The sequence below is a fragment of the Homo sapiens genome, chromosome 4 (genome assembly GCF_000001405.40).
Source record: "Homo sapiens chromosome 4, GRCh38.p14 Primary Assembly".
Lineage (NCBI taxonomy): Eukaryota > Metazoa > Chordata > Mammalia > Primates > Hominidae > Homo > Homo sapiens.
In genome coordinates, this window is record NC_000004.12 from 142,709,326 (window position 1) to 142,727,076 (window position 17,751).

Sequence of the window (17,751 nt, forward strand, 5' to 3'; positions counted from 1 at the left end):
ACTGTTAAGAAGGGATGGTTGCATTTTGAAATGTAAGAAGGACATGAGACTTAGGAGAGGCCAGAGGTGAAATAATATGGTTTAGATTTGTGTCCCTGCCCAAATCTCATGTCAAATTGTAATCACCAGTGTTGGAAGAGGGGTCTGGTGGGATGTGACTGTATCATGGGGGCAGACTTCCCCCTTGCTGTTCTCATAATAGTGAGTTCTCATGAGATCTGATTGTTTAAAACTATGTAGCACCTCCCCTTCACTCTTTCTCCTGGGATGTACATCCTTCCTCTTCTCCTCCCACCATGAGTGTAAGTTTCCTGAGGCCTCCCTGGCCATGCTTCCTGTACAGCCTGTGGAACCATAAGCCAATTAAACCTCCTCCTTTATTAATTACCCAGTATTAGGTAGTTCTTTATAGCAATGCAAGAATGGACTAATACACTTTCTTTTCAACTTATTACCTGCTTTGTCTCAGAGGGGAAATTGTCCTTTGATCTGTAACCCCCTCTATCTATTGCCCACCTCTCATTTCCTTTCAAGTTTATTCTTCATACTGTTCTATAAGCTTTAGCATTGCATTAGCATAGATTTACAGCCCAGGAGGAAATAATCATTTCTATTGGCGTACGCAAGTTTTCTGACTTTCAAAAAATATATTACTTAATACTATTTGTTTATTTGACAAATCTGTATTAGCCTCTAGTATATGCCAAGCACTGCTCAAGAAGGATCCATTCCAGATCTCAATAGGGATGAAAGCTCTCCAGCATAGTTAATTCCTTCTGCTCTAGGCCATGGATCTCCATCTCAGAGGTCATAGAGGCAGAATAAAATCAAAGTAGGGAAACTTGCCCATATTTTTTGTTGGCAGGATAAATTTATGAGCACAGCCAATGCCTTTAACTGTATACTGAGTCTTAATGATACTAGAATACATTTGGATTAGCTTTCCTATTGATTTCCAGTTTGTGATTATTCATTGAAGGGTAAAAATTGTATATGTAAGAGAGAGATGATGTTTTTGAAAGTTTCAACAAAATGGCCAAGATATGATACTGACAAACATGGTAGAGGATGTGGACAATGGTTCCAAGAAGCAATCTTTTATCCCTGATTGCTACATATGATCATGTTTTTGAAATCATGAGTCAAAACCCTAGAGTGGGTTATAAAATCAATTTAATAAAATGTAGCATTTTTTTAAAAAGATAATAAAGAGGAGAATGGAAAATATGAGTGTACTGCACATATAAAAAGTAGTTTTCATGTAACAAAATATTATTTTCACATATTGAAAGCCACTTATTTGTGTCTACCAAGCTTCATGAATGAGCAATCTATATCCTCCACCTATACCTCATTACTTCCCAATCTCAATCAGTTGTTTTTGCTTTAGTAACTCCACTAAAACTATTCTTGAAAATGCCACAAATTTACTTCTATTTGTCAAATTTGATGTATCTCCTTCAGATATAATACATTCATAGTTGAATTCTCTGCAGTGGTGTACATTGTTCATATCTTGTTAAAACTTGCACTGTCTTTGCTTTTGTGACAACACAAATGATTCTCTTCCCATCACTCTGGTATTTCTCTCTAGTTTTTGTTCCTTGGTGTCTCTCCCTGACTCTACTCTTCAAATCCTGGCACTTCTGCAGAAGAGAGCATGAGCCTTAGAGAAGCCATATACACTAAAATTGAACTTTATCTCTGCAACATGTCCCTTCCAACACCTCTTCTGGGCCCCATTACTATTGTCTCTTGCCTAGATCTTTCCTTCTGTTGATTGTCAAAAGTAGCTAGAATGGCCTTAGTGAAAGGAAAGTCAGATCAAAGGTTTTGATTCCTTTTATCAAAACCACTCTTTGGTCCTATGACCTCCTTCCAGTCTTTGCTCAAATAGAATCTTCTCAGAGAGGCCTCCCAGGCCTCCCTATTTAAATATATAACTCCAGACCCACCACAACGTACTCTGACCCCCTTTCCAGCTTTATTTTTCTCCATAGCCCCTTTATAGAATACTTTATACTTATTTGTTTACTGCCTGTCTTCTTTAACTGGATCATAAGATTGAGCACCACAGTAATTTCTGTTTTGTAGACTGCTATATTCCCAGCATCTAGAATCAGTGGCCCATAGAAAAAGACTAATAATATTTATTAAAAGAATGAGTGACTATCATCAATCATTTATTATTATTCTTATCATGGTAAACCTAAGAGTACACATGGCTATGTGTATTATGCTATTCAGTTATCTCTCACTAATACAGTTTTAAAAAGGACTCTTAGCCATTGCTATGGTCTGAATGTGTCCCCACAAAATGAATATGTTGAAACTTATTTGCCAGTGTATTAGTATTAAGAGGTGGGGACTTTGGAAAGTGATTAAGTCATGAGGACAGAGCCTTTATGGATGAAATTGATGACCTTATATAAGAGGTGTAGGCTGGGCACGGTGGCTCATGACTGTAACCCCAGCACTTTGGGAGGCTGAGGCAGGCAGATCACTTGAGGCCAGGAGTTCGAGACCAGCCTGGCCAAAATGGCAAAACCCTGTCTCTACTAAAAAGTCAAAAATTAGCCCACCATGGTGGTACATGACTGTAGTTCCAGTTACTCAAAAGACCGAGGCATGAGAATGGCTTGAATGCAGGAGGTGGAGGTTTCAGTGAGCTGAGATTGTGCCACTGCACTCCAGCCTGTGTGACAGAGTGAGACTCTGTCTCAAAAATAATAACAATAAATAAATAAAAGAGATCCAAAAGAGATGCTCATCACTTTTGCACCTTCTACCATGTGAGGACGTAGCAAGGGAGTGCTAGCCCTCACCAGACACCAAATCTGCTGGTGCCTTGATCTTGGACTTCCCAGCTTCTAGAATTGTTAGAAATAAGTTTCTATTGTTTATAAATTAACCAAGCTAAGGCACTTTGTCATAGCAGTAGGGTGACTAAGATAGCCACTAGGCAAAAATAAGAGGTGTTTATATGAAATTGACTGAAATTAATAGCCAGGTCTTAAAAGATGAGGACATCTGAATCCTACCCTTAACTGCGCTCCTGCTGGCTGACCCTACAAGATGCAGATACCTATACATGAGCCTGGATTAACAGATAATCCAAATGTCCAAGGCATGCTGCCATTGGGTCCTTCCTTTTAATCTACTCCATCACACACAAGATCATTTCTATTGTCCTAAAATGTGTTAAAGATAGTTTAGTTTCCTTCTTTTATTTTCCTGGCAATAGCCCACCATTGTATATCGAAAGAAAAAAAAATTGATAAATTATTGTCTCATGAATTCTAGCCAATCACAAACGTACTTGTTTTCCTTTTTATTCACTACTATAGCATTTTAAAGACATATTTGTTACCATATAAATGTCAACTAACCCACTAAGATTTTTCCCCTAATAATAAATAAGTACTTCTCCCCAGCCCTCATTCCTAGGGAGAGGAAAGAAAACAACTTAATTTTCTCTCAACATCCCCACTTTATCCTCATCTAATTTTCACAAAATTACAATAACTCTCTTAGGTTTTACTATTATCTCCATCTTACAGATGAGGAAAATAAGACATTAAGGGGAATAACAAACATGTCCAGGCTCTCCATATATCAGGTGGAAGAGCTGTGTTTTGACTCTGAGGCCAGTGTTTTGCTAGAACCTAAGGAAAGGAAAGAAATGGGAATTATGGGACAGATCCTAAAAGAAGAATCTTTCTCTCTTAAACAGCATTTCTCATGTATATATCTCAATATTTTGACAATTGTCAAAACCAGTAGGACTTGCTGATCAATTGTGAAGAGGCTAAGAGCAAAAGAGAAATTAAGGATGACTCCCAGGTTTCTGGCTGGGTTAACAGGGTAGATGATGGTCTTCAAATAATCTATAGAAGGAAGAGATTGAAAGTACAAGTTTATGGGATCAATTTTGAACTAAGTTCAAGATGTCTCTGGGGATACAATTTTGAAGCTCAAAGTGTAGCCTGGGCTAGAGATAGAAATATGGAAGTCAAAAGCATTTAGGTAGAATACAGAATCATAGAGGAGGCTAGTAAGTTCACCCAGAAAGAGTCTACTGCATTTGGCAAGTGGAAAATCTGAGAAAGAGGAGTTCTATTGGAATGAGAGAGTAAGCGAAAGATTGTTGTGGATCAAAGAGTAAATGGTTGGTGAGAAAGCAGAAACAGAGAAGTCTACTCTTCTGAGAAATACTTACTCAAAGAGAAAAGGAAGTGATTGAACATTCTCTGAAAGTCACACAGCGGCACTATTACATTTTCTTGAACTAATAATCTCCCATTTGATGCCTTCCAAAATCAACCTTTCCAGAAACACAGCTTTGAAAGCCTCATGTCCCAGAAAAGGCCTTGCCAGATATGGTTGTCCACCCTTGAGTGTCCCTGGAGTCCCCTGAAACAGCACTCCTTAGGAAATATGTGCTGGCCTCTTCTACATCCTGGGGGTTTTAAGATCCTGCTCATTTAGGAAAGCCAATCTGTCTAAACAAATGCTAATGTGTTAAAGTGTTACCCTTTCCCTGGGTAAACTTTGGGCTGCCCACTTAGGAAACCATGTTTTCTTCTAAAGCAGCATTTTACAGTGTGCTTCATTGAAAGCTAGTACCACTAGATGCAATGAGTATTACATGAAAACATACACTAAAATATAGAAGGCTTAATGGTCCACCAATCTGAGAAAATGCTGGATTAAACAAAGTTAAACAGATTTCTTTACAGCAAGATTTCTCAGAGACTAATATTCTAATGTGCATCATACAATTACATCATAAAATTACAGGAGGGAGATATAAAATTCAGCATTTTCCAAAATTACCTAATGAGAGGACTTTCTTAAAGGTTCATCACATGGGTCATAAATTTAGAAATATGTTTTCCTATAGGAACAATATTAACAGAGGGTACTTCAGGCAATTTGACAGACTAATTAGAGATCAAAATTGGTGCCACTGTCATTGTACCAGGCATCACGCCCTCAACCATGTTCTCTTCTTTTCACTTACTTTCTGCACTTTCCTCACACGTTGACATAAATTCAGGCACAATCACTTTTAATGACAATGGACCCTTGCTTGAAAATTGAAGTGTTTGTTTTCCCTTTTGACCAGCTAAAGTCTATGGATTCCATAATAAAAACTGGGATTGCAGCTTGTGGTGCTTTTTATTTCACAGGCCTGTGGTGGCTGACTACAAATGAGATAAAGCTGATGAATAAACTTGTTGATCATTGATATTATTTCCCTGATTCTATTTGTTTTTGCTTTTCTCTTTTATAGCTTGCAAGCTCAGTTGTTACAAGAAAAATCAATAAACAAGCTTTAAAGGAAACTTACACCCAGGGAGAATAAAGGCCCTTTTTGCCTTGAAGTTACTCTTTTTCTCTTTTAAGGGAGTAATATCCACTCCACAGCCAGAGTTCACTTTCAAGTCAACAGGAGCCCTATGTGCTCACGAGGACTCTCTGCTGGGAGAACAAGGGCCCCAAATATTTGCAAAAGATATCTGGGTTATCTTCTGGGAATTGAATTGTTCTACAAATCAGACTGGACTGAAAAACAGAAACTAATGTTAATAAGAAATGTTATTATATATAACTAATGTTAACAAGAAAATAAACAATTGTCCACATGTGCAGTGGCTAGGAAATAAATTAGGAAAGTCTACCAAAGGTAGTCTTTTCATGTGAATATAAATGAAACACAACCCTATTAACTGAGGTAGAGATTTTCATCTCTGTCCTCTCCCAGAGCTCAAACCTGAGTAAGAGAGACCAAATCCTTTTGAGCTCTCTGCTCTAGGTAAAAAGATTTTCATCATTGAATCCTAGTATTTAAAGGATTTAGCCTTGGGCCACATGTGTGATTTGCAAATTGGAGCAGTATCATCTAATAGAACCATGAGATGATTAAAATGCTCTATAATGTTGCAATGTCCAGTATGTTAGCCAGTAGTTGCATATAAATATTGAGCACTTGAAATGTTGCTAGTGTAAAGAAATTCCCAATTTTATTTAATTTGAATTTAACTCAAATTCAAATAATCACATGTGCCTAGTGGCTATCCGCTAGCATAGCACTAGAAAGTAGGAGTAGAATTTGTCAAGTTGGAATACCAGCTTTTTAATAGGGGGCATAGAATAACATGGGGATCTCCAACCCCATTTTCATCCAAGAATAGCATATCACAAAGTCAGTGAAATACAATGCTGAATACAAAATGTCTATAACCACCTGGTAAAGCAAAGTGTGTAGAAATAAAGGCATAGGTGAAAGTGGAATGGCAGTACCAGGTAGAGCAGGGTCTGACAGTGTAGCAGAAGAGAGCCCTGGGAAGGAGCTCTGGGAGAAGTTAGGGTTGCAGTTAGCTATGACTGCCTAACAAATTATCCCAACATTTAGTGGCTTCAAATATTGACATTTGTTTTGTTAACCATCTGCATTTTAGGCTGGGACCATGGGGAGATAGCTTTTCTCTGTTTCACTCATTATCACTTGGGCTGTGGCAAGGCCAGGAGCTGAGACCATTTGAAGATTTGTTTATTTACATGGTTGGCAAATGATGCTGGCTGTTGGCAGAGACCTTAGCTGGACTGTCAGCTGGAACACCTTACAAATGGTTACTCCATTAGGCCTGGACTTTCTCACAACATGATAGCCAGATTCTAAGGACAAGTGTCCCAAAAAAGAGAGAGGCAAGCAGCTTCTATGTCAACTTTATGACCTACATTTGGAGATCACATAGCATTACTTCTCCAGTGCTTAACACAGCAGACACAAACCCACTCAGGTTCAAGGGAGGGGAAAATAGTCCTCACCTCTTGATGGGGATGCCAACGAGGTTCTGGAAAAACATTTGAGACTGGAGACATTGCTGTGGCCATTTTTGCAAACTAATCCATTGTCATTAATTAAAATTGTTTAGTTCTCAAATAAAAGAAACCTTAGTCAAACCTGTTTAATAACATACACATACATATTCTACAAAAATTAGCAAGCTATAGGCTTCAAGTATGGCTAGATTCAGTGACCCAAATGATACTATCGCATCTTTCTAATACTTGCTCATTCATTCTGTATCTTGGCTCTTTCTTATCTCTCAATTTTTTTCTTTTAATTTTTAACTGTTGCATTATCTTCCCCAAACGGCAGAACAAAAAATTACTGGCTGCCATAAGTCAACATCCTGACAATTTTGATCCTAAAAGAAGAATCTTTCTCTCTTAAATAGCATTTCTCATGTTATGGCTATGAATAATTCTGCTCAGGGCACGTGCCCAATCCTTGCAGAATCACTGGATCCTGAAAGGTAAAGTTTCCTAACAGGCCAGGTAGAGGTCCCAAGTCTACATTAGCAGCAAGTATTTAAATCTCATTGTATTAAAGTTTTTTCATATGTAGGATGGATTTCTGGCATATTCATTGTGAAACGACCTCAATTACCCTGCCTCTTCTATCCAACCAATTGTAATGGTCAGTAGCATGCAGTAATTTGTGTCAGTTCTGAACCTTGGGCCTCAAGAGCTCTTTCACATTTCTGCCTTCTCCTTCTTAGAACCCTGCTACCAACATGAGGATAAGGTATTAAGTGATAGGTTAACATAAGTAAAACCTCTAATTCAGTTTCTTACACATAAGAGCAGGATAAATGGTTACTATGATCAATCTTATTATTTCTATTTTCTAGTTTTGTCTTCATAATAACCCTAGGTATGACCATGGCAAGTATTACTGTCCTTTTTATTGATGAGGAAATGAATATACCAAGTGGTTAAAATGTATAGATTACCAAATGTAAAAGTACTGATAGAGTGGGCAGGTAGACCTTGAAATACATGCTAATGAGATTAGTGGCTGCATGAAGGACAGTAAATTTTGAGACTAAATTTTATGAGGATGAATTTTGAAACTGACTTGATGGAATTCATAGTGGCTAATATACATTAACTACTTACTATGTACCAGTAACTATTCTAAGTTTCTATTAATATCCTCACTTAAGTAACTAAATTATGTAAGAATCTTTCTTTCCCAGTTTTGCAGAAGAAGGCAATATTAGACACAGAGCTTAAATAGCTTGCTTCAGCCAGGAAGCAATAAGCTAAGAAGTTACCAGTCTGGGATTCGAACCCAAACTATCTGGCTACCAAAATGTCCATCAATGGTAGACTGGATTAAGAAAATGTGGCACATATACAACATGGAATACTATGCAGCCATAAAAAAGGATTAGTTCTTGTCCTTTGCAGGGACATGGATGAAGCTGGAAACCATCATTCTGAGCAAACTATCACAAGGACAGAAAACCAAACACCACATGTTGTCACTCATAGGTGGGAAATGAGCAATGAGAACACTTGGACACAGGGCGGGGAACATCACATACCGGGGCCTGTCGTGGGGTGGGGAATTGGGGGAGGGATAGCATTAGGAGAAATACCTAATGTAAATAACGAGTTAATGGGTGCAGCACACCAACATGGCACATGTATACATATGTAACAAACCTGCACATTGTGCACATGTACCTTAGAACTTAACATATAATAATAAGAAAAAAGAAAGCAAAAAAAAAAAAAAAAAAGAATTGCCCCTTGTACACTCTTCTGTCTCTGAAACGAAGAACAAGATGTTAGGAAAGGGGAGAAAAAAGTTAAATTCTAGGTAGAAAGAATGGTAAATGCAAAGCCAGCAGGGTAGAAATAAGTAAGTCGTATGCATATGAGATCAACCAGGCTGTATAGCTACAAGGCAACATCTGGGTGAGGAATCGACTGGAAATGAGGTTGAGAAAATTTAGAATGCAGCAGCAGAAAAGCAGTCTTTGAATGTCAGATTGAGGTGTTTGAATTTATGAAATAGCCCAAAGGAAACCCCATTCTCTCTGTTTTAACTTAATCCACTTAAATGTACAAGCAAATGAACATGTTGAGAAGAAATGCACTGATACATATAGAAATGGAAGTTAGCTTTTTAAGTGTAGTTAAAACAGTTTGTTTAAAACTGGCGGGCTCTCTATTCAAAATACCTCATGAGCAGTTGTCATTTAACTATAAATTACGAAGAAAGTGGCAGACTGAAGACAGATGCCCCAATCGGATCTTATTCCTTGCCCCTTCTAGAGAGTTAAGTATGGGAAGCATAGGCTGGACTATTCTAGATCAAGCAAACTTGTGCGTCCGCATCAGGCTCAATGATAAGAGTGTCTTAACTGAACATTAAGCTAGCGCTGTGCCTTCTGTTCATGAATAGCACTTTCTCATGGCATAGGTAGTCAGGGCCACGAGCAAGTGCTATTCATGAATGAAAGGTACAGCATTAGCTTGATGTTCATATTGATGTTCATATGCCAAGTAACTGTAGCATGATTTCAAATGTCTGCCTCATCACCTGTAAACATAATTAAAGAATAACAATCAAAGTCTTGGGGAAAATCCTGTTAAGTCCTTTTTACTGGTAGTTCTAAAATAGAGATGCAAAACTCAGTAAGATTTAAGAAACTCAGTGTTAATCTTATGAAGTTAAACCAATAATCCTCAAATATAACAACTTCAGTATGAAAGTACATATTCCCTGAGCCTATGAACTAGCTCAGTTAGCCCCACCTCACTATACCAACTAAAAAAATCTTAAACATGATAAAGATGTAACATTTACATTAATATTTTCCTTGGTACAATGTGCTTCAGGAAAGCAAATGTTTTTATAATTATCTTTACATCTTGAATGGATTTAAAGCAGATTTTTTTCCAAGGGAGAGAAATGGGAACAACTCTTCCTTTCTCTTTATCACTTACAAACCTGCTTCACACTTGGTTGACTCACACCCAATCACCTATGACTGATTTCTAAATCATGCTTAAGATCCAACAAATTAGATTGAATCCTCCTGCTAATGTAAACCTAACCTTATAAAAAATTAATGGCATTATTTAAAATAACATTATTAGTATCTATTGAACATTGGCCAATACTACAATTTTCTTATTTTTTATTTTTTGAGACAGGGTCTTACTTTGCCACCCAGGCTGGAGTGTAGTGGTGTGACCACGGCTCCCTGCTGCCTCAACCTCTCGGGGGTTAGGTGATCCTCCCACCTCAGCCTCCTGAGTAGCTAGGACTACAGGTGCCCGTCACATGCCCAGCTAATTTTTGTATTTTTAGTAAAAATGGGGTTTCGCGATGTTGCCCAGGCTGGTCTCAAATTCCTGGCCTCAAGTGATCTGCACGCCTCGGCCTCCCAAAGTGCTGGGATTACAGGCATGACCCATTGAACCCAGCCTATAATTTTCTTATTAATTTCTGAAAAAAATGAGATACTTTTACTAATTCTTAAAAACTAAAAAATTATATGTACTATAATCCATGGAAAATATCATTTTTTCTTATTTCTAGATGATGTTGTCAACTCATGAGCAAACATTCATAATACTCTATGGCATCTATCCAAAAGTTGAGTACCTTGTAACAACTGAACAGAGATCCATGAAAGTTTAGAAATTATTAAGGAAAAAAATTAAAGATAGAATTTACTAAGTAAAAAGGGCACAGATGTGGATGCCGAAAAATTAATACTACACAATCTTCTGATGGGCTATAGCACCAAATGCTGTTACAAAAACAGAATGAAACAAAACCAAAGCACAAATACCCATCCAATGATGGCATAAATGAATCATAAAGTATCAAAGCAGAAGTTTAGAGCTCTGGCATCAGGTACAATTCCTGACAAATTACTCAAGTTCACCCATAATTCGTCATTGTCATCTCAATGATACAGAGAATACTGGAAGTAAAAATAACTTGTTACATGTGAACAGAAACTGGTTTAGAAAATAATTCAAAAATATTTTATGCCTGCACTCCTACTCTTTGTACGGCAAAAAAAATAGTTCTTAAACTTTCAAATTAAGTACCTACTATTCTCAGGTAAGATGTTCTAATGAAGTATCATTTTTTATTGTTAGCAAATTAAGGTCACAGGACCCCTAGGAGGTTGCTGCTGACATCTAGTGGCATACTTTTTAAAACATCAAATTCATTAAAAATATAGAGAGCTATCCCTCATTACCCAGTGGGGTATGGTTCCAGGTTTCCTCTTTCCCAATGTACCAGAATATGCGGATGTTCAAGTCCCTTATATAAAACGGCATAGTCTTTGCACATAACCTATGCACATCCTCCCAGACACTTTATATCATCTCTAGATTATAATACCTACTACAGTGTAAACGCTATATAAATAGTTGTTTTACTGCATTGTCTTTTAATTTGTATTATTTTTTATTGTCTGTTTTTTTTTCCAAATATTTTTGATTCCCAGTTGGTTGAATCTATGGATGTGGAACCCATTAATATGAACAGCCAACTGTATATGTGTATATATATACATATATATATATATATACATATATATATAATCTCTCTCTCTCTCTCTCTCTCTCTCTCTCTCTCTCTCTCTCTCTCTCTATATATATATATATATATAGTTTTCTTATTTTTTATTTTTTGAGACAGGGTCTTACTTTGTCACCCAGGCTGGAGTGCATCTCGTGTGTGTGTGTGTGTGTGTGTGTGTGTGTGTGTATGATTTTCAGCATCATATATATAGAGAGAGAGAAAGAGAAGAACAAACATACATTTATGTTCAAGCGTGTACTTGCAAAATCTAGTGGACATGTTACCAATTATTTGTAGCCCAGATCACTTTGTCTTCAATGATGTGATTCTCCTTCCAAAGTAATCTTAGTGCTGCAAAACCAGAAATAAAAATGAGCAGATCTGCTAAAGCCTTAAAGGAACCAATTCCCTCAAAGACTTTAGTCTTTTACTGGGAATTGCCAATTCTCTGAGAGCCCCAATTCCCAAAGGCTTCTCCCCAAACCCAATAGGCCTAATTTCTTTTCAGCTTTCCAAATAACCATGACCCTACTCCATTTCCATACCTGGCATTTAAGTACTTTTAGGATCTTAGCCTAGAGAGACTCCACTATAGAGCAGAGTATATGCTCTTGCACAAAAATGCTTTTGTTGGGTAGGGCAGGTTAGATTTTTCTGCAATGATGTATGGAGTGGCACAAAGCCAGTAAGTGATAAAATTAAGCTGTCTCCCTTTGGTGAAGAGAATGTGTTCCTACAGTGGTGTTATAAATTAGTTGATTGGAATTTAGATTTTATTCTTATTAAAACGATGTCATAAGGCCGGGCGCTGTGGCTCACGCCTGTAATCCCAGCACTTTGGGAGGCCGAGGCGGGTGGATCATGAGGTCAGGAGATCGACACTATCCTGGCTAACACAGTGAAACCCCGTCTCTACTAAAAATACAAAAATTAGCCGGGCGTGGTAGCGCGTGCCTGTAGTCCCAGCTACTTGGGAGGCTGAGGCAGGAGAATTGCTTGAACCCGGGAGGCAGAGATTGCAGTGAGCCGAGATCGCGCCACTGCACTCCGGCCTGGGTGACAGAGAGAGACTCCGTCTTAAAAAAAAAGATGTCATAAAAGCATAGTAGGTTCTCCAGGTAGTCCTAATTAATACAAAACATAGCAAAATTATAACTTTCTTATTACAAAGAGATCTTTTAGTCTTTTAAATATACCTTCAATGGAAATCCTGGAGATTCAAGGAGCTCATTCACTCAAAATTTGTCTGCTTTACTCATAAGGAAAAGTAAACGTGGCTGGCAGAAAGATCTTTTTTACAATTATATTGAAGAAAAAAATCCGTGTCTGTGTGTGCACCTTTATATATGATATCAAATTATATATATATACACACACACATATACATATGTATACATACAAGAATATACCAGAATATGCAAATCAATGACAGTATGGCGGATACCACAACTAAGTGTGAGTGAATGTAGTGTAGGCTGGCTAAGGGAGAAAGGGAGTTGTAATATAATGAAGGTCTCAGAAAGCATCTTAAAGAGAAGTTTTAAGGTTACATAGTTTTTGGAATAAAGAAGAAAGCAGACCAGACATTCAAAGCCAAGCTTTAAACCTAAGCAAAGACAAGAATGTTTGGAATATGTGGTGTTAAGAGAGACATAAATAAGGTAAGAAACATAGCTGGGGAATTGATGGAAGACCTTGAACAGTAGCAGGAGCTGATTCTAGACAATGCTGTGGTTTATAGTTCTGAGAGTTTCAAAAAGATAAAATATTGCACAGAAACTAATACCCAGAAGAGTTAAAAAGACCAAGAACTTTTTGCAAATGAAAAAAATCATAAAAGCCACATTCTTAAAAACTACCATAACAGCTTCTTTTCATGTAAATTTTTCTTTAATAATTACTTTTTAATCACTTCTCCATAAAAATGTTCAATGATTTATTCTCTGATTTGCAGTTTAAATACTCATTGGGAGCATACTGTGCTGATGTTATGAATATGTTTTTGTAAAGCATTGTATGGTATATATCAGACATAGAACCTAATTTCGGCACTGTGAGATTTACATGTACTTTTCATCACTAGCCTTAAACTATTTCTAACTCTCATTTAAATGCATGGTCACTAACTTATTAATCAACCTGCAAGTTATGATGCTGTACTTTCAGTTGTTATTATAGTAGGTATGTGATAAATAATAGAAAATATAATCTGTAATAAACCCTTAAAATATCACAAGATTTGTATCCTTTTAAATCTCAACATGTATCACATCTGTATCATTTCCTACATCAAATAAACCAAAATAAAACCAATCTGTAAACAATATATTTACAACTTATTTCTTACTGTCCTTGAACATAAGTAACCCTGTATAGTAGCCTTATAACCCAGTTTCTTTTCAATTTACAAAATTGTGTTTACAGAAAGCCTAAATATAGTAAACCTACAGTACATAAAAGAATTGCTGAATTCTTAATATGCTATTTCAATTTCCTCCAGAAAAAATTCAATATATGTGAGAATAAAATTTAACATTCCTGCATAATAAAAATATAATTACAGTCATGAAATTTTCTTAATTGAAATTTGATCTATTTCCAGGACATGTAAACCTATGTAAAAATTGAACAGAATCACGGTCTGTATTTTTACATGTAATCCTACCATGGTATACCTACCAGGTATATTGAAAGATATTTTAACCTGACTAATTGAAGTTCCCTCCATCTTTGGATGACAAAATTAAGAAAATTGTAACTATAACTTATAACCAATAACTTCACATTAAAACGCTACCTGAAAAGTTGTTTAAATGCCCTTTTTAAAAGAGTCAAATGTAGAACTCACAGGTATCTGCACACATAAAAGTGTCGGTTAATCCAACAGATTGCATGCTGAGCCCATTGCCAGAATTAATCCTACACAAAATGAATGTGTTAGTCATCATGTATACTAAGAAAAGCTGAATGGTTCCATTTGTTTAAAAATAACACCTTCACTAGTATGTCTTAAACTTCCACTATTTAAACATTGAAATTTAAATGCACATATTCCATCTGAGATAATAGGCAGAATGTTAATATGTTAGTGTGTATTACCTTATTAATAGGAATTTTACGAGATTGCAAACACCCCCAGTTCAACAAATCTATAGGACCAGCCCAGAAAGATAATGACATAAACGTCATTTCTCCTGGCCATAGTTCTCCCATCCCTAGCTATTCCTCAATATCTCACTTCCAACCTCCACAGCAACATACATATCTTGGATCATAATCACCTTGGGAGTTGTATCATGCCAAATTTTGGCAATACACAGAATGATTCCTTGATTCCTTTATTTACATAATAGAAAAAAAACAAATTTTGTTACTCTGGGTATACTGATGCTGAAAATTCTATCCCATGAATGGGAATTACTTTCCCTCACCCTAAGTCTTCCTTTGTTACCTTCACTTCAAAATAAGCTTATACATAGCTTACATAAATAAAATAAAAGCCTAAAAATGAGTATATTAGTATATACATATCTCTGAGAAAAGAAAAATTCACATAAATGCAACCTGGAGAGTCTGTGCTCCCTGCATGCTTTATTTATATTCTAAAGCACATGGATCCCTGACCTTCCTCATTGGCTTCATCTCATTCAGGATATTTCTCTTTCTCTCTTTACTGTGCCATCTTCCATTGAGTTGCCTTCAACAAGCACTTTTCTAGCATTTATCTCCCTATGCCTACATCACACAGCTCAGCTTCAACCTCTTCCACATATTGTCTAGGAATTTGTTCTCTTTATAATGTCCCTATTTGGAGAGTCAAAGCTAATAGTTCTATGTAAAAGACAACCCTCAATTAACTTCATTAACCATTTAAGAACATTTTAATTTGAATTAACATTTCAGTATAGATAAAACTTGGATAGGGTGACTACCCTTAGGAAAAGAAGCTATTTTCTCAAGGGGTTTATACCTGTTTTGAAGAATTACCTAGAAGCCAGAAATATGTAGAAATATATCACATTTGTAATTCAAATTTAACAATTTATTTTTGCTCAACTGCAAATCAAAGTTCAGAAATAAGCTTTCTGCTGATATCCATTACATTTAAATGCTACCTGTATTTCAGTACTCATTTATTTTTAGAAATTCAGTAATTTGTCAAAAATAAAACCCAATCAATTCTAGTTAATATAAAAATATATAATACATTTCATTAATATACTATATATGTTCATGAACATACAGTGTCATCACATCTTCATAGCTAAATAAGTAGACAGGACTCAATGGATGTCTCAGTTCCCTTCAAAATTCTAAACTGTCTGAAACTTTTCTGCAAAAATCTCTTTTGAGATAGTAGCTTTATTCATAAAACATACACACATTGTTTATCTGCAGCCATACTCACACTTTGTGTACATGCGTATGTCATTAGAATATTTGCATGAGTTTTCATATTCTTAGAACAACATATGTAAATAATTCACATAGTGATTTGAAAATTTAGCAACTAAATATGCATCTGTTAAGTATAATCAGGCACGCTATTCAACAACTGCATGATATAATTCAATCTTTCCAAAGAAAATATGTATTTTGCATGAGGGTGTCTTCATAAAGCTTGATGACATTTTCTAGAAATTCATATTGAAATTTTTTTTGTATATTCAAAAAAATACATAAAGTCATCTGACTAACGCCAAATAAAGTCACAAAGAATCTTATCATTGTACCCTAACAAGGGTCTAATGCTGTTATTACCTATCATTTGTAAATATGATAAACCAATTGGATTTATTTCCAAAGAGACTGCAATCCTGTACTCAAGATCCTATTTATATATTAACATAAACTTCAAAATGGTATCAGAAAATTAACCATTACCCACAATGTTTTGAAAAGCTATTATATATCTAAAAATGTACTGTTCACTTTATCAATCTGATGATCATCGTAAGGCCTTCCCTTGGCTTTTCAGATAATAATTTACTTTTTTGATGGGTAATTCAATATCTAAAACGAATAATCAAGGAAAGTCAACTAGTTTCATGTAGAGTTATACAGAATGAAAAAATATCAATTCAAAATAAGCATTACCTTTGTCTAATTTTTCATAAAAGACAGAAGACCTCTTGCCAGGTAACACCATTTCTTTGTATTCTACGGGAAAAGAGAAAGAAGATTAATAAAAACAACCTTTCTTTTTTCCTCTTTAAATGCTTCTTAAAGAAGATTCATTAGTAATAAAGGTCAGAGAAGAAAATCATTTAACAAAATATTCAGCTCCATTCAGCAGCTGCCTCAGGAAACACTTGCTTTAAATGCCAAATCACTTCCCCAAATGTCCTTTCTCCCTTACAGCTGAGAACATGGGTGACTGCAGCAGATACTCAGCCCTGTTTTCTTTGCTTCTCTTTCTTCTCTCACATGTGAACAAAACTGGCACTCGAGCAAGAAAAGGCATTAGCTTCCATCATTTCAAAAGACAAGATGTAAGCAATGTCAGGACAGAACATTTACTTGGAATACAATGGACTGAAATGGAATTTAAAATTATCTAAATTGACTTTCCTTCCACTGCTAGTGAGCATGGGTTTTAAAATATTCATGAAAGTTTGGGTCTTTCCACAAAGTAATAAAATGAGATACTGTGGGACAACTGTAAATAACTGCAGATTACCTTCCTTATGAGATGTAATTTCAGAGCTTTTCTATGCTGCAACAAGGAGGAAAGTACTTTATCGAAGTCAAAAGTTATGAAAATATATCTTATTCCCTGCCTTAATGTATAACAATCTTGAGGAGTATCCCATAATAGATTTTATTGCATCATTATCTAAATGTTCAGATTGGAGGATACAAAATTCAAGCCTGAGCAATAGCTTTCCAGAAAGGACTGTTACATACATAGGTAAGAATTTTAAATTCACCCCTTAAGAAAGTTATTTGGCTGAATAGAAGATGCTAACAGTTTAAAACAACATTGATTAATTGACTAAAGCAGTCATAAGAATAGTGATATAACTGCAATCACTACATCTTACCAACTGTGTATTTTGGACAAATAAATTTTGTAAGTCTTCATTTTTCATCTGTAATATGGGAATGATATTTTTTCCTATCCCCCATGGAGGTGATAATTGAGATAAATACATATAAAGAACATAGCATAGTACCAAGCTAAGCATGAGAAAGCATAAGCTAATATAATATCATCATTATTATTCCTATTATTATCACTGTTCTTTAAAGAACAACAACAAAAAAGGCTTACTATTCCATTGAGAATCACTGCCCTAGTGAGCCACACAATAAAATGATTAAATCATATCATA

At 35.9% G+C, this 17,751-nt stretch overlaps 1 protein-coding gene across 12 annotated transcripts in view; it reads right to left on the reverse strand.

Moving 5' to 3' along the window:
- Positions 1–17,751, reverse strand: part of INPP4B (inositol polyphosphate-4-phosphatase type II B) — an 823,376-nt gene that overhangs the window by 686,166 nt on the left and 119,459 nt on the right. For 11 of the 12 annotated variants that reach the window (NM_003866.3, XM_047416359.1, XM_047416356.1 and 8 more), the window contains one exon: positions 16,514–16,576. The exons of the other annotated variant lie outside the window; for it this stretch is intronic. The gene's annotated coding sequence lies outside the window, so the exon portion shown is untranslated. The remainder of the gene's footprint in view (positions 1–16,513; positions 16,577–17,751) is intronic. 12 annotated transcript variants of the gene reach the window in all.